Source organism: Homo sapiens, chromosome X (genome assembly GCF_000001405.40).
Source record: "Homo sapiens chromosome X, GRCh38.p14 Primary Assembly".
Classification (NCBI taxonomy): Eukaryota; Metazoa; Chordata; class Mammalia; order Primates; family Hominidae; genus Homo; species Homo sapiens.
Window position 1 is genome coordinate 118,414,163 of NC_000023.11, and position 17,620 is coordinate 118,431,782.

At 41.2% G+C, this 17,620-nt stretch overlaps 1 protein-coding gene across 4 annotated transcripts in view, besides 3 other annotated features; it reads left to right on the forward strand.

Annotated features, from left to right (window-relative positions):
* WDR44 (WD repeat domain 44) overlaps window positions 1-17,620 on the forward strand; it is a 103,889-nt gene that overhangs the window by 68,090 nt on the left and 18,179 nt on the right. The window lies entirely within an intron of this gene.
* Window positions 4,174-4,709: an enhancer, noted in NCBI's record as "H3K27ac hESC enhancer chrX:117552299-117552834 (GRCh37/hg19 assembly coordinates)". NCBI's record gives its function as "activates a minimal SCP1, AML or CMV promoter by ChIP-STARR-seq in primed H9 embryonic stem cells {active_cell/tissue: H9 hESC(primed)}" and the evidence as "EXISTENCE:reporter gene assay evidence [ECO:0000049][PMID:30033119]".
* Window positions 4,710-5,245: an enhancer, noted in NCBI's record as "H3K27ac hESC enhancer chrX:117552835-117553370 (GRCh37/hg19 assembly coordinates)". NCBI's record gives its function as "activates a minimal SCP1, AML or CMV promoter by ChIP-STARR-seq in primed H9 embryonic stem cells {active_cell/tissue: H9 hESC(primed)}" and the evidence as "EXISTENCE:reporter gene assay evidence [ECO:0000049][PMID:30033119]".
* Window positions 11,056-11,273: a silencer, noted in NCBI's record as "fragment chrX:117559181-117559398 (GRCh37/hg19 assembly coordinates)". NCBI's record gives its function as "represses an EF-1alpha promoter that drives an FKBP-Casp9 reporter gene in an ReSE screen in HepG2 liver carcinoma cells {active_cell/tissue: HepG2}" and the evidence as "EXISTENCE:reporter gene assay evidence [ECO:0000049][PMID:32094911]".

Below are 17,620 nucleotides of genomic sequence, written 5' to 3' on the forward strand. Positions count from 1 at the left end.
CTTTTGGTTCCATATGAATTTTAGAATTGTTTTTTCTAATTCTGTGAAGAATGATGGTGGTATTTTGATGGGGATTGCGTTGAACTTGCGATTGCTTTTTTTTTTTTTTTTTTTATGTTCCATGGTTTTGTGTTTTTTTTTTTCCATTACTGGATATATACCCAAAGGACTATAAATCATGCTGCTATAAAGACACATGCACACGTATGTTTATTGTGGCACTATTCACAATAGCAAAGTCTTGGAACCAACCCAAATGTCCAACAATAATAGACTGGATTAAGAAAATGTGGCAGATTGCTTTTTGAAGTATGGCCATTTTCACAATATTGATTCTACCCATCCATGAGCATGGGATGTGTTTCCATTTGTTTGTGTCGTCCATGATTTCTTTCAGCAGCGTTTTGTAGTTTTCCTTGTAGATGTCTTTCGCCTCTTTGGTTAGGTATATTCCTAAGTATTTTATTTTTTTGCAGCTTTTGTAAAAGTGATTGAGTTATCGATTTGATTCTTCGCTTGGTTGCTGTTGGTGTATACAAGAGCTACTGATTTGTTTACATTAATCTTGTATCTGGAAACTGTGCTGAATTCTTTTATCAGTTCTGAGCTTTCTGGAGGAGTCTTTAGGGTTTCCGAGGTAAATGATCATATCGTCAGCAAACAGTGACAGTTTGACTTTCTCTTTACCCCATTTGAATGCCCTTTATTTCTTTCTCTTGTCTGATTGCTCTGGCTAGGACTTCCAGTACTGTGTTGAAGAGGAGTGGTAAGAGTGGGCATCCTTGTCTTGTTCCAGTTCTCAGAGGGAATGCTTTCAATTTTTCCCCATTCAGTATTATGTTGGCTGTGGGTTTGTCATAGATGGCTTTTATTACACTGAGATATGTCACCTGTATGCTGATTTTGCTGAGAGTTTTAATCATAAAGGATGCTGGATTTTGTCAAATGCTTTTTCTGCATCTATTGAGATGATCATGTGATTTTTGTTTTTAATTCTGTTTATGTGGTGTATCACATTTATTGACTTGCATATGTTAAACCATCCCTGCATCCCTGCTATGAAACCCACTTGAACTGGGTGGATTATCTTTTCGATATGTTGTTGGATTTGGTTAGCTAGTATGTTGTTAAGGATTTTAGCATCTATGTTCATCAGGGATATTGGTCTGTAGTTTTCTTTTTTGGTTGTGTCCTTTCCTGATTTTGGTATTAGTGGGTGATGCTGGCTTCATAGAATGAATTAGGGAGGATTCCCTCTTTTTCTATCTTGTGGAATAGTGTCAAAAGAATTGTTACCAATTCTTCTTTGAATGTCTGGTAGAATTCTGCTGTGAATCCATCTGGTCCTGGACTTTTTTTGAGATGGAGTCTCACTCTGTTGCCCAGGCTGGAGTGCAGTGGCGCAATCTCAGCTCACTGCAGCCTCCGCCTCCTGGGTTCCAACGATTCTCCTGCCTCAGCCTTCCTGGTAGCTGGGATTACAGGCACACACCACCATGCCCGGCTAGTTTTTGTATTTTTAGTAGAGACGAGGTTTCAACATGTTGGCCAGGCTAGTCTTGAACTCCTGGCCTCAGGTGATCCGCCTGCCTCGGCCTCCCAAAGTGCTGGGATTACAGGCATGAGCCATCGTGCCCAGCCAGTCCTGGACTGTTTTTTTTGTTGATAATTTTTAAATTACCATTTCAATCTCGCTGCTTGTTATTGGTCTGTTCAGGGTATCTATTTCTTCCTAATTTAAGCTAGGAGGGTTGTATTTTTCCAGGAATTTTTCCATCTCTTCTAGGTTTTCTAGTTTATGTGCATAAAGGTGTTCATAGTAGCCTTGAATGATCTTTTGTATTTCAGTGATGTCAGTTGTAATATCTCCTGTTTCTCTTCTTAATGAGGTTATTTGGATTTTCTCTTTTATTTTCTTGGTTAATCTTGCTAACAGTCTATCAATTTTATTTATCTTTTCAAAGAACCAGCTTTGTGTTTCATTTATCTTTTGTATTTTTTGTTTGTTTCAATTTAGTTTAATTCTGCTCTGATCTTGGTAATTTCCTTTCTTCTGCTGGCTTTGGGTTTGGTTTGTTCTTGTTTCTCTAGTTCCTTGAAGTGTGACCTTAGCATGTCAGTTTGTGCTCTTTGAGTCTTTTTGATGTAGGCATTTATAGGGCTATGAACTTTCCTGTTAGCACCACCTTTGCTGTATCCCAAAGGTTATGATAGATTGTTTCATTATTGTCATTCAGTTCAAATAATTTTTTAATTTCCATCTTGATTTCATTTTTGACCGAGTGCTCATTCAGGAGCAGGTTATTTTATTTCCATGTATTTGCACGGTTTCGAAGGTTCCTTTTGGAGTTCATTTCCAGTTTTATTCCACTGTAGTCTGAGAGAGTGCTTGATATAATTTCAATTTTCTTAAATTTATTGAGGCTCGTTTTATGGCCTATCATATGGTCTATCTTGGAGAAGGTTCCATGCGCTATTGAATAGAATGTGTATTCTGCAGTTGTTGGATGGAATGTTCTGTATATATATCTGTTAAGTCCATTTGTTCCAAGGTATAGTTTAAATTCGTTGTTTCTTTGTTGACTTTCTGCCTTGATGACCTGTCTAGTGCTGTCAGTGGAGTATTGAAGTCCCCAACTATTATCGTGTTGCCGTCTATCTCATTTCTTAGGTCTATTAGTAATTGTTTTATAAATTTGGGAGCTCCAGTCTTAGGTGCATAAATGTTTAGGATTGTGATATTTTCCTGTTGGACAAGGCCTTTTACTGTTATATCATGTCCCTCTTTGTCTCTTTTAAATGCTGTTGCTTTAAAGTTTGTTTTGTCTGATATAAGAATAGCTACCCCTGTTCGCTTTTGGTGTCCATTTGCATGAAACGCCTTTTACCACCCCTTTAAGTTTATTTGAGTCCTTATGTCTCCTGAAGACAGCAGATAGTTGGTTGGTGGGTTCTTATCCATTCTGCATCTCTGTATCTTTTAACTGGAGCATTTAGGCCACTTACATTCAATGTTAGTATTGAGATGTGAGATACCTCATAGTGTTATTTGTTGCCTGTGTACCTTGGTTTTTTTTGTTTTTGCTTTTTAACTTACATTTTTGTTTTATAGGTTCTGTATGATTTATGCTTTAAAGAAGTTCTGTTTTAATGTGTTTCCAGGATTTGTTTCAAGATTTAGAGCTCGTTTTAGCAGTTCTTATAGTGGTGGCTTAGTAGTGGCAAATTCTCTCAGCATTTGTTTGTCTGAAAACGACTGTATCTTTCCTTCATATATGATACTTAGTTTTACTGGATACAAAATTCTTAGTGATAATTGTTTTGTTTGAGGAGGCTGAAGATAGGGCCCCAATCCCTTCTAGCTTGTAGGGTTTCTGCTGAGAAATCCGCTGCTAATCTGTTAGGTTTTCCTTTATACGTTACCTGGTGCTTTTGTCTCACAGCTCTTAAGATTCTTTCCTTTGTCTTAACTTTAGATAACGTGATGACAGTGTGCCTACGCGATGATCATTTTGTGATGAATTTCCCACTTGTTCTTTGTGCTTCTTGTATTTGAATGTCTAGATCTCGAGCAAGGCCGGGGAAGTTTTCCTTGATTATTCCCCCAAATATGTTTTTCAAACTTTCAGACATCTCTTCTTCCTCAGGAACATCAGTTATTCTTAGGTTTGGTGTTTAACATAATCCCAGACCTCGTAGAGGCTTCATTCATATTCTCTTATTCTTTTTTCTTTGTCTTTGTTGTATTGGGTTAATTTGAAGACCTTGTCTTTGAGCTCTGAATTTCTTTCTTCTACTTGTTCAATTCTATTGCTGAGACTTTCCAGAGCATTTTTCATTTCTATAAGTGTGTACAGTGTTTCCTGAAGTTTTTATTGTTTTTTTTCTTTATGCTATCCATTTCCTTGAATATTTCTCCCTTCACTTCTTGTATCGTTTTTTGGATTTCACTGCATTGGGCTTTGCCTTTCTCTGGCGCCTCCCAGATTAACTTAATAACTAACCTCCTGAATTCTTTTTCAGGTAAATCAGGGATTTCTTATTGGTTTGGATGCATTGCTGATGAACTAGTGTGATTTTTCGGGGGTTGTTAAAGAGCCTTGTTTTGTCAAATTACCAGAGTTGGTTTTCTGGTTCCTTCTCATTTGGGTAGGCTCTGTCAGAGTCTAGGGCTGAAGGCTGTTGTTCAGATTCGTTTGTCCCACTGGGTGTTCCCTTGATGTAGTACTCTTCCCTTTTTCCTATGGATGTGGCTTCCTGTGAGCCGAGCTGCAGGGATTGTTATCTCTCTTCTGGGTCTAGCCACCCAGCAAGTCTACCCAGCTCTGAGCTGGTACTGGAGGTTGTCTGCAGAGAGTCCTGTGATGTGAACCGTCTATGGGTCTCTCAGCCGTGGATACCAGCACCTGTACCAGTGGAAGTGGCAGGGGGGTGAAATGGACTCTGTGAGGGTTCTTAGCTTTGGTGGTTTAATTTTCTATTTTTGTGCTGGTTGGCCTTCTGCTGGGAGGTGGCGCTTTCCAAAGAGCATCAAGCTATGGTAGTATGGATTGGAAATGGTGGTGGGTGGGGCCCTAGAACTCTCAAGAGTATATGCCCTTTGTCTTCAGCTACCAGGGTGGATAAGGAAGGCCCATCAGGTGGGGGCAGGGCTAGGTGTGTCTGAGCTCAGAATCTCCTTGGTTGGGTCTTGCTGAGGCTGCTGTGGGGGATGGATGTGATGTTCCCAGGTCAATGAAGTTGCGTACCTAGGAAGATTATGGCTGCCTCTGCTGAGTCATGCAGGTTGTCAGGGAAGCGGGGGAAAGCTGGCAGTCACAGGCCTCACCCAGCTCCCACACAAACGGAAGGGCCAGTCTCACTCCCACCATGCCCCCTCAACAGCCCCAAGTCTGTTTCCAGGCAGTAGGGGATCTGGGCCTGAGAACTTGCCCCAGGCTACTCACCTCCCAGCTGTGAAAGAAAAAGGCTTGGTTCTTTCCCCACCTATGGAGTCTGCACACCGGATTCGTGCCCTCCCCCTTCTGGCCAGGAGGCTTCTCGCCAGTTCAAATTGTTACAAAGTTCAGCTGGAGACTTCCTTCTCCCTATAGTGTTTCCCCTCCTATTCCTCTGGCTGCCCTCCCGAAGGATCCCTGTGGTGCCAGGCAGGAATGGCCTGCTTGAAGACCCAGCGAGCTCCCAAGGCTTTCCTGCTGCTTCCTCTACTTCTATATTTCGCTGGGCTCTCTAAATTGACTCAGCTCCAGGTAAGGTCAGAAACTTATCCTGCAAACAGACGTTCAGTTTCCCCAGTGGGGGTGTGTGTTCCGGAGAGGAGGATCTCCCTTTCCCACTTCTGCAGTTTGGGCACTCACAGTATTCGGGGTGTCTCCTGGGTCCTGCAGGAGCATTCTGCTTCCTTCAGAGGGTCTGTGGGTTCTCTTGGGATTCCTAGTTCTTTCTTGCAGTCGATCTGCAGCTAAAATTCATGGTGTGAGCCTCCGCATGCTGCTCTGTCCATCTGAGTAGGAGCTGCAATCTAGTCCTGCCTCCTGTCTGCCATGATGGCATCCCATTATGTTTAAAATGTTTCTTATAGATAGCATATAGTTAGACCATGTTTTTTTACCCACTCTGCCAGTTTCTGTTTTTTAATTGGTACATTTATACCATTTAAACTTACTGTAATTATTGCTACTTTAAACTCAAATCTGTCATCTTTATGATCATTCATTGAAATATTTTCATCATTCACCCACAAACCTGCTTCTCCTCACTTCTGAACCTTATTTAGTGGCATCAACATCTACACGTTACCTTTTTAACTCAATCAAAAATACTCCATTACTTTTTCTTCCTTACCCACATTTCAAATTAGTAACAAATTCCTAGCCACTCTACCCCCACCCACAAATACCTGTGGAACTTACCCCCTCATCCCTAATTGTCACACACATCGTCTAGGTCTTCAACACTCATTTAAATGCTTGCCATAGTCTCCTAATTGTTTTTTCTGCCTCTGGTCTCTACCCAATTCATTTTCTACACTGCCACCAGCCAGCCAGGTTTTTCAAAACAGATTGACTGTGCCATTGTGTGGTTTAAAATTTTTTTTTCTTTTTTTTGAGACAGAGTCTCGCTCTGTCGCCGAGGCTGGAGTGCAGTGGCATGATCTCGGCTCATTTGCAACCTGCGCCTCCCGGGTTCAAGGGGTTCTCCTGCCTCAGCCTCCCAAATAACTGGTATTACAGGCACTCACCACCATGCCCAGCTAATTTTTGTGTTTTTAGTAGAGATAGGGTTTCACCATGTTGGCCAGGCTGGTCTTAAACTCCTGACCTCAAGTGATCCTCCCACCTCGGCCCCCCAAAGTGCTGGGATTACAGGCGTGAGCCACCATGCCCAGCCTTGCGGTTTAAAATCTTTTGACGGCCCTTTATCTCCCCCACAATAAGATTCTTCCCTGTATTGCCTAATCTTAACTTTTGACTCAGTTCCAATTCCCTAGTGCCTGTGCATCCTACCAGCCGTGCCTGATACAGGTCTGTACACTATAAACACTTTCACTTTCATGTCTCTGTCCCTGCTGTTTGCTTTGCCTTCACAGGGCAAAGCCCTACTTATCCTTCAAGATTCAGCTCAAATATCTTATTATTTTCCCTGAATCCAGCAGATAAAATTGTTCTTCATTTGTATTCTAATAGTACATCATAGGTACTTTTATACTGATATTACCATGTCTTTCTTGTTAGTCTCCCTGGCTAGGCTCTGGGCTGATTGAAGGCAAAGAACTGTACTTCACAGATTTTAGTATCCTTGGAATCTAATTCCATTCCTGACTGTAGCAGGCCCATAATCATGTTGAATTCCTGCCTGTGGACCTTATTCCTATTGTTCCCCTTATTTGGATGCCTTGATCATCTTTCTATTCAAAGCATGCCCATTCTTCATGGCCCGCTTCCTCCATAAAGCCTCACTGACTAATGTAGCAGAGATAATTTTAACTGCTTTGCTTTAGGGAAAAGGGCTTGCTTTTATTAGTTTAATTTACCATACAGTTTCCAGGCATTGATTACTATTAAAAATAGAGACTATCTGTAGTATCTTTTATTGCGCTTATTTCAGCAATCCTACTTATAGATCCTCAGCTACATCCATCTAACCCCAAACAGACCTAAGTAACTCACAATTTTATTGAATACAAAGCCTTTTTACATGAGAAATAACATTTATATCCATTGTTTTCAGGAAGAGATCATTTGGGGTTTGTTTCCCTTCTGTCATTTTATTTGGGGACAGTTAAAAGAGGCTTCTATTTCACATGCCATTAGAGTTTGACACCAGAAATTATCTTCTAACCTAGTGCTAGCCACAGTGAGGCACAGTAAACACAATGGAGTTTATGTTCCTGATGTGTGTATTCTTTTTTTCTTATGATAGTGATATCTTTTTCATCTCTTTTGAAGTACTTTTTCAGTCTTTTGTCTTAGCATCTGTGTGGAATATAATATATAAAAGTATTGTACAGTCGAACATACAGAGTGATGTACCCAAGATCACTCACCTGTGCATTGGTAATGCCAAGCCTAGAATTCTGGCTACTTTCTGTTTCTGTTAATTTTCAAAATTAGCTCAATAAATGTAAGAAAGACAGGAAGAGGTGCATGTCTAATATGCTCCATTATCTTAGACACTTATAAAGTAGGGATTTTTTTAATAGTTGGGTTTTGCAGAGACTGTTAGACCTCATGGCTTCTAAGAATTGATAATTGCATCAGATTGCAAATATGAATATACTGTATCCATTTTAATAAGTATAAAATTTCTTTTTGATACTAGAAGCTGTAAGTATGCTATGTACCTAGAAAGTAATGTTTTTCTTGCAAATTTATGTTTAATGTGCATGACTAGGGAACATTAGCATAGGTGTTGTAGCATTTAACTGCTGCTTAAAATTTTTGAGAATAGGCCAGGTGCAGTGGCTCATGCCTATAATCCCAGCACTTTGGGAGGCCCAGGCAGGAGGATTGCTTGAGTCCAGGAGTTTGAGACCAGTCTGGGTAACATAACAAGACTATGTCTCTATTTAAAAAAAAAAAATATATAGCCAAGCATGGTGGCATGTACCTGTAGTCCAGCTACTTGAGAGGCTGAGGCATGAGGATCACCTGAGCTCAGGAGTTTGAGGTTACAGTGAGCTGTGATCACCACTGCACTCCAGCCTGGGCAACAGAGCAAGACCCTGTCTCGAATAAATTTTTTTGAGCCAGGCGCGGTGGCTCATGCCTGTAATCCTAGCACTTTGAAGAGGCCGAGGCAGGCGGATCACCTGAGGTCAAGTGTTCAAGACCAGCTTGGCCAACATGGTGAAACCCGGTCTCTACTAAAAATACGAAAATTAGCTGGGCATGGTGGCATGTGCCTATAATCCCAGCTACTTGGGAGGCTGGGGCAGGAGAATTGCTTCAACCGGGAGGCGGAGGTTGCAGTGAGCCAAGATCGCACCATTGCACTCCAGCCTGGGTGACAAGAGCAAAACTCCGTCTCAAAAAAAAAAAAAGAAAAATTTCTGAGAGTATATCATTAGAATCTAGAACTTGGGTAAAGGAAGTTAACTATAAGGGAGTGAGAGAATTTTTGTGAAATGTAGGTATGCAGTATTTGATACAGATTTGTCTTGGTACTATTAATAGCCTCACTTTACAAATGAAGGTTTAGAGCTGTTAAGTAACTCAACAATTTCACACAGTCATAGCATCAGTATTAGAACCCTGCTCTGTCTCTAGAGCTTATGTTTTTAACCATTATGCTCCAATAGTTGACATCTTGAGGTCTGGGACTATGTCTTCATTCACTCTAGAGATATTTATTAAGTGCCTACTATTTTTATTAATCACTGTTCTAGGAGCTAGAGATATAGTAAGTGAACAAAAGAGACAAAAATATCTGTGAACAAGAGACAAAAATAGAATGGAGCATACATTCTAGTGGAAGAAGACAGAAAATAAGTAAATTTTATAATATAAAGTTGTTTTTTTTTTGAGATAGAGTTTCACTATTGTTGCCTAGGCTGGAGTGCAGTGGCACAATCTTGGCTCACTGCAACCTCTGCCTCCTGGGTTCAAGCAATTCTCCTGCCTCAGCCTCCCAAGTAGCTGGAATTACAGGCACGTACCACCACTCCCAGCTAATTTTTTTGTATTTAGTAGAGACGGAGTTTCACCATGTTGATCAGGCTGGTCTCGAACTCCTGACCTCAGGTGATCCACCCGCCTTGGCCTCCCAAAGTGTTGGGATTACAAGCGTGAGCCACTGTGCCAGGCTATAAGTTAATTTTTTAAACCACTTTATTGAGGTATGATTGGTATTCAAAAAGCTGTATGTATTTATTATATAGAACTTAATGAGTTTGGAGATAAGTATACAAGCATGAAACCATCACCACCGTCTGTGCCATAACCCAAGCATCACCTATAAAAGTTTATTCTCATCCTCTTATTTATTAAGTATACGATACAGTATTGTAAACTGTATGCACTGTGCTATATAATAGATCTCTCAAACTTAATCATTTTGAAAGTGAAACTTTGTACCCTTTGACTAATACCACCTGTTTCGCCAGCCCCAAGGCCCTCGCAATCACTGTTCTACTCTGCTTCTATGAGTTTGTTGTTTCTAGATTCATCATATAAGTGGCATTATGTAGTATTTGTCCAAAAAGTATCTGGCTTAATTTCACTTAGCATAATGTCTTCCAGTTTCATTCATGTTATCACAAATGCCAGGATTTTCTTTTTATGACTGAATAGTATTCTGTTGTGTGTATATGCCACATTTTCTTTATCCATTCATCTGTCAATGGACATTTAGGTTGTTTCCATGTCTAGGCTATTGTGAATAATGCTGCAGTGAACATGGGAGTTCAGATACCTCTCTGACATACTGATTTTATTTACTTTAAATATATACCCAGAAGTGGAATTGCAGGATCATATGGTAGTTCTATTTTAAGTTTTTTCAGGAACTTTCATACTGGTTTTCATAGTAGGTGCACCAATTTACATTCCCATCGACTGTACAGGGTTCCATTTTATCCACATCTTCACTAATACTTGTTATCTTATATATATATATATATGTGTGTGTGTGTATGTGTATATATATATATGTGTGTGTGTGTATATATATATATATATATATATATGTATATATATATAATGTTCATCCTAACAGGTGTGAGGTGATATATCATTGTGGTTTTGATTTGGAAATCAAATCACCTGATTAATTGGTGATGTTGAGCACCTTTTCATGTACTCATTGGCCATTTGTATGTCCTCTTTGGAGAAATGTCTATTTAGGTCCTTTGCCTATTTTAAAAATTGGGTTATTTGTTTGAATTTTGGGGTTTTTGACATTCAGTTGTAGGGGTTTCTTACATATTTTAGATATCAACCATTCATTAGATAAACGGTTTGCAAATATTTTCTCCCATTCTGTAAGTTGCCTTTTCATGTTGTTGGTTGTTTCTTTTGTTGTGCAGAAGCTTTTTAGTTTGATACAGTCCCGTTTGTCTATTTTTGCTTTTGCTGCTGGTGCTTTTGGTGTGGTGTCATATCCAAGAAATCATTGCCAAGTCCAATGTCAAGAAGTTTTTTTCCTGTTTTCTTCTAGGAGTTTTACAGCTTCAGGCCTTACATTTAAGTATTTAATACATTTTGAGTTTATTTTTGTATATGATGTAATATAAGAGTCCAATTTCATTTTTTTGCATGTGTATCTCCAAAGGTAATCAGTTTTGTGAAGAAAAGTAAAACAAAGTGGGATGGCAGGGAGTAAATAAGGTGGGTGAGCAAAGCTTCACTGAGAAGTTGTTGTTCGAGCAAAGTACAAAGGAGGTAAGGAAATGATCATATGATAAGACCATTCCAGGTAGAGACAGCAGCAAGTGAAGCTGCTATAAGGCAGGAGTTCTGGTGTGCTCAAAAAACAGCAGCAAGGGCAGCTGGAGCCAGTGAGTGAGAAGGAGAGGAAAATAGAAAAGGAAAACATAGAGATGTCGATGCGGGGATCAGAACATATAGGACATTGCAAGGACTTTGGCTTTTGCTCTGAGTAAGATGGGAATCAGTGGGTTTTCAAACAGAGAATGACATAATCTGATTTATTTTAAAAGGATCATTCTGACTTTTATACTGAGAACAAACTATAAGAAGATAAGGACCAGGCATGGTGGCTTATGCCTGTAATCCCAGCACTTTGGGAGGCCAAGGTGGGCGGATCACCTGAGGTCAGGAGTTCAAGACCAGCCTGACCAACAAGGTGAAACCCTGTCTCTACTAAAAATACAAAAATTAGCTGGGTGTGGTGGCAGGTGCCTGTATTCCCAGCTCCTCGGGAGGCTGAGACAGGAGAACCACTTGAACCTGGGAGGTGGAGGTTGCAGTGAGCCAAGATCACACCACTGCACTCCAACCTAGGTGATGGAGCAAGACTCCATCTCAAAAAAAAAGATAAGAAATGTCTTGTTAATTCTGGTATTCCAAATAAGCAATACAGTATATCTGCTACATATTGTATGTGCTAATGAATGTCAAAAGCCTTATAATTTTCCATAGCAATCCAACTTTATAATATCTTTAGATAGGCCGGGCATGGTGGCCCATACCTGTAATCCCAGCACTTTGGGAGGCCGAGGCAGATGGATCACCTGAAGTCAGGAGTTAGAGACCTGCCTGGCCAACATGGTGAAACCCCATCTCTACTAAAAATACAAAAAAATTAGCTGGGTGTGGTGGCATGTGCCTGTAGACCCAACTGCTCGAGAGGCTGAGGCAGGAGAATCACTTGAACCCGGGAGGCGGAGGTTGCAGTGAGCTGAGATGGTGCCGCTGCACTCCAGCCTGGGCAACAGAGCAAGACTCCGTCTAAAAAAGAAAATCTTTAGATAATTAGAACATTTGAGTGTGGATTAGATATTAGATGATATAAATGGTATTTTTTAGGTATGAGAATGGCACGGTAATCATATTTAAAAGAAGGGTTATCAGAGGTATATATAGAAGTATCTACTGATAAAATTATTAGTGTCTAGATCTTGCTTTCAATGCTGCAGCAAAAATAAACAAAAATGGGAAGACTGATAAAGTAGGTAAAATTTTGATAATTGTTAAAGCAGGTGATGGATGCATGGGGTTCAATATATTATATGGAGTTCATTATACTCTTCTATCTACTTTTGTATATATTTAAAATGCCCATAATAAAAAGACAGTGGCCGGGCATGGTGGCTCATGCTTGTAATCGCAGCACTTTAAGAGGCCAAGGTGGGAGGATCACTTGAGCCCAGGAGTTCAAGACCAGCCCAGGCAACAAAGAGAGACCCTGTCTCTACAAACAAACACAACAAAAATTAGCTGAGTGTGGTGGCACATGCCTGTGGTCCCACCTACTCAGGAGGCTGGGGTGAAAGGATCGCTGGAGCCCAGGAGGCGGAGGTTACAGTGAGCCGAGGCCATGCCACTGCACTCTAGCCTGGGCAACAGAACAAGACCCTATCTCAAAAAAAAAAAGAAAGAAAAATATATGTATATAACATTTTACTTGGTAATTCTACCTTTAATAATTTATCATAAAGGAATAATCAAGAAAAAATAAATACCAAAAAATAGAACAAAAAACAAAAACAAACCAAAAAATTATTAGATATTCTGAAAGATAAGTAAGAAGATTCTCATCTTAGTGTTTTCATAATAGCTAAAATTTGAACAACCTAAATTTCTAACAGTTGGAAAATAAAAACTGGTATAACCCATGCAGTAAAATACATGCAGTCCTTAAATTGTTTTCAAAGACTATTTAATGATGTTAAAAATGGTCACAATAAAACATAAAGTGAAGAAAGCAGAATGTGAAATTGGATACAATATTACCACAATTTTGACTAAAAAGTACCTATAAATATACATATATATTTTAAGGGATAAGAGTCTCCCTCTGTCACCCATGCTGGAGTGCTGTGGTACCATCATAGCATGTTGTGACCTCAAACTTCTGGGTTCAAGCAATCCTCCCACCTCAGTCTCCTGGGTAGCTTGTGCTACAGGCAAGCACCACCATGCCTGGCTTTTTTTTTTTTTTTTTGGGGACGGAGTCTTGCTCTGTCACCCAGGCTGGAGTGCAGTGGCGCGATCTCTGCTCACTGCAAGCTCCGCCTCCCGGGTTCACGCCATTCTCCTGCCTCAGCCTCCCGAGTAGCTGGGACTACAGGCGCCTGCCACCACGCCCGGCTAATTTTTTGTATTTTTAGTAGAGACGGGGTTTCACCATGTTAGCCAGGATAGTCTCCATCTCCTGACCTCGTGATCTGCCCTCCTCGGCCTCCCAAAGTGCTGGGATTACAGGCGTGAGCCACCACACCCGGCAAAATGGGCAGACATCTGTAACTAACTCATTAGTTCATATTATTTGAGAGAAACTGCTCTAGCCGTCTCAGTACATCCTCTCCACCATGAAGTAAGCTCCATGAGGGCAGGAATCTTTTTTTTTTTTTTTTCTTTTCGCTCTGTCGTCCAGGCTGGAGTGCAGTGGCACGATCTCGGCTCACTGCAAGCTCTGCCTCCTGGGTTCACGCTATTCTCCTGCCTCAGCCTCCCGAGTAGCTGGGACTGCAGGCACCTGCCACCAAGCCTGGCTAATTTTTTTGTATTTTTAGTAGAGACGGGGTTTCACCGTGTTAGCCAGGATGGTCTTGATCTCCTGACCTCATGATCTGCCCGCCTCGGCCTCCCAAAGTGCTGAGATTACAGGCGTGAGCCACTGTGCCTGGCCTATTTTTTTAATTAAAAAATAATTTTGCGGCTAGGCACAGTGGCTTATTACACTTGTAATCCTGGCACTTTGGGAGGCCGAGGTGGGTGGATCAGTTGAGATCAGGAGTTCAAGACCAGCCTGGCCAACATGGTGAAATCCCATCTCTACTAAAAATACAAAAAGTAGCCAGGTATGGTGACCGCCACCTGTAATCTCAGCTACTTGGGAGGCTGAGGCATGAGAATCGCCTGAACCCAGGAGGCAGAGGTTGCAGTGAGCCAAGATTTCACCACTGCACTCCAGCCTGAGTGACAGAGCAAGACTCCATCTCAAAAAATAGTAATAATAATAATAATGATTATTTTTGTAGAGACAGTCTCACTGTGTTGTCCAGTCTGGTCTCAAACTCCTGGCCTCAAGCAATCCTCCTGCCTCAGCCTCCCAAAGCACTGGGATTACAGGGACGAACTACCGTGCCTGGCCCTATAAATATTTATAGATAAAAGACTTTGAGGAAATATGCTAAATTATTAATAATATTCTTTATCTCTGAGTGATAGGATTTCACATCTTTTGATTCTTTATACTCTGTTTTTCTAAAGTTTTCTTTTATGCTTACCTACTTTTATTAAAACAAATGGAAGAGGGGAATGTAAATTAGTTCAACCATTATGGAAGACAGTGTGGCAATTCCTCAAAGACCTAGAACCAGAAATACCATTTGACCCAGCAATCCCATTACTGGGTATATACCCAAAGGAATAGAAATCATTGTGTTATAAAGATACATGCAGGCATATGTTCATTGCAGCACTATTCCATATAGCAAAGACATTGAATCAACAAAAATGCCTATCAATGATAGACTGGGTAAAGAAAATGTGGTACATATATACCATGGAATACTATGCAGCCATACAAAGGAATGAGAGCATGTCCTTTGCAGGGACACGGCTGGAACTGGAAGCCATTATCCTCAACAAACTAATGCAGGAACAGAAAACCAAACACCACATGTTATCACTTATAAGTAGGAGCTGAACAATGAGAACACATGGACACAGGGAGGGGAACAACACACAGTGGGGCCTGTCAGGGGGATGGGAGGAGGGAGAGCATCAGGAACAATAGCCAATGCATGTGGGGCTTAATACCTAGGTGATGGGTTGATAAGTGCAGCAAACCACCCTGGCACACGTTTATGTAAGAAACCTGCACATTCTGCACATGTATCTTGGAACTTAAGAAGTATTATTTTTTAATTCAAAACATAAAAAAAAAGAGACTATAAAAGTTTCAGGTTTAAACTTTTTGACCCAGTAATAACCCTAATATAAGGATAAGGAAATAGGCCAGGCACAGTGGCTCACGCCTGTAATCCCAGCACTTTGGGAGGCTGAGGCAGGTGGATCACTTGAGATCAGGAGTTCGAGACCAGCCTGGCCAACATAGTGGAACCCTGTCTCTACTAAAAATACAAAAATTAGATGGGTGTGGTGCTGTGTGCCTATAATCCCAGGTTCTCGGGAGGCTGAGGCAGGAGGATTGCTTGAACCCAGGAGACAGAGGTTGCAGTGAGCCAAGATCGTGCCACTGCACTCCAGCCTGGGTGACAGAGCAAGACTCAGTCTCAAAAAAAAAAAAAAAGATAAGGAAATAGTCAAATGTGGATAAAGATTCAAAGATTCATGTTCCAGGGCATTCATTGAATTGCTGGGTTTTATTTATTTGTTTGTTTTTGTTTTTTGTTTGTTTGTTTGTTTTTGAGACAGAGTCTCGCTCAGGTTCTAGTGATTCTCCTGCCTTAGCCTCCCGAGTAGCTAGGATTACAGGTGTGCACCACGCCCGGCTAATTTTTGTATTTTTAGTAGAGATGGAGTTTCACCATGTTGGCCAGGCTGGTCTCCAACTCCTGACCTCAGGTGATCCGGCTGCCTCAGCCTTCCAAAGTGCTGGGATTACAGGAGTGAACCACCACGCCTGGCCGAATTACTGTTTTTATTAGCAGAAAAGTTGGAAATGTCTAAGTGACCAACAAAGGAAGAATGATTAATCGTGATGCATCCATATTATGCAGCTACTAAATGTTTTCAAAGCATGAAATACAGAAAATGCTCATGGTATAATAGGAAGATTGGTAAATTTCATGTTTAATATGATTTCAAATACATTTTTTAAAAATGAAAGATTGAAGAGAGACAAAACGTTAGCAGGTTTGGGGTGATGTTAATTTTTCTGTTTTTTTTTTTTTGTTCTCCGAATTGTCTACACTGATCATGTATTATTTTATAACTTAAAAAATTTAGGCTGGGTGTGGTGGCTCACACCTGTAATCCCAGCACTTTGGGAGGCCGAGGCTGGTGGATCATGAGGTCAGGAGTTCAAGACCAGCCTGGCCAAGATGGTGAAACGCCGTCTCTACCAAAAATACAAAAATTAGCCAGGCACGGTGGCAGGCGCCTGTAATCCCAGCTACTCAGGAGGCTGAGGCAGGAGAATCACTTGAACCCAGAGGGCAGAGGTTGCAGTGAGCCGAGATTGCACCACTGCACTCCAGCCTGAGTGACAGTGAGACTCCATCTAAAAAAAAAAAAAAATTTAGTCTGGTCATGGTGGCTCACACCTGTAATCCCAGCACTTTGGGAGGCCGAGGCGGGTGGATCACCTGAGGTCAGGAGTTCAAGACCAGCCTGGCCAACATGGTGAAACCCTGTGTCTACCAAAAATATAAAAAATTAACCAGGCGTGGTGGCATGTGCCTGTAATCTCAGCTACTTGGGAAGCTGAGGCAGTAGAATGGCTTGAACTTGGGAGACAGAGGTTGCAGTGAGCCAAGATCATGCCATTGCACTCCAGCCTAGGCAACAAGAGTGAAACTCCGAATCTGATTTGTATGTAATGAGGGAAGCCTGTTTAGCTGTATGTCTCCCAGCAGTGCTCACTAGTCTGGTAGTAAAATTGAGGGGGGCGAGGATGGTAGTCATCTAGCATTAGAAGTGCTTGGCAAAGGTTACAGGAGTCTGTGTTGGTGGTCTACCTCCATGGTTGATGTGAAGATGTTTTTTATAAACTGTAAAGTTCTACACGAATAATAGTGGTAGTTTTTAATCTATCCCCATGCCACTGTCCTCATTCAAGCCCTCATTATTCTTACTTAAACTTATTGACTGCTTTTCCTGCCTCCATGCTCTCTCCAAACCATCTTTTACATTACTGCCCAGAGTTCTTTTTCTGAAGCACCGGTAAGATGGTGGTGGTTTTTTCCTTTCAGAAACCTGTGTTGGCTCTCCATGTCTGAACTTTTAAGCCACAAATTTGAGGCCTTTTTATTGTTTATTTTATTTTATTTATTTATGTATTTTTGGAGACAGAGTTTCGCTCTTGTGGCCCATGCTGGAGTGCAATGCTGTGATCTCAGCTCACCGCAACCTCCACCTCCTGGGTTCAAGCGATTCTCCTGCCTTAGCCTCCCAAGTAGCTGGGATTACAGGCATGCGCCACCATGCCCAGCTAATACTGTGTTTTTAGTAGGGACGGAGTTTCTCCATGTTGGTCAGGCTGATCTTGAACTACCGACCTCAGGTGATCTGCCTGTCTCGGCCTCCCAAAATGCTGGGATTACAGGCATGAGCCACCGTGCCTCGCCAAGGCCTTTTTGAATGTGATCCCAAAGTACCTTTCTACCCTAATTTCTGACTACATCTCCATATACTGTTTTCTCTGTCCTCATCATCCTACCTACCTTTCCCTAAATATGCGAGGCTTAGCTAACCCTCTGTTCTTGCTCATGCTATGTCATGTAAAACATTTGAAGGACAAACTTTGG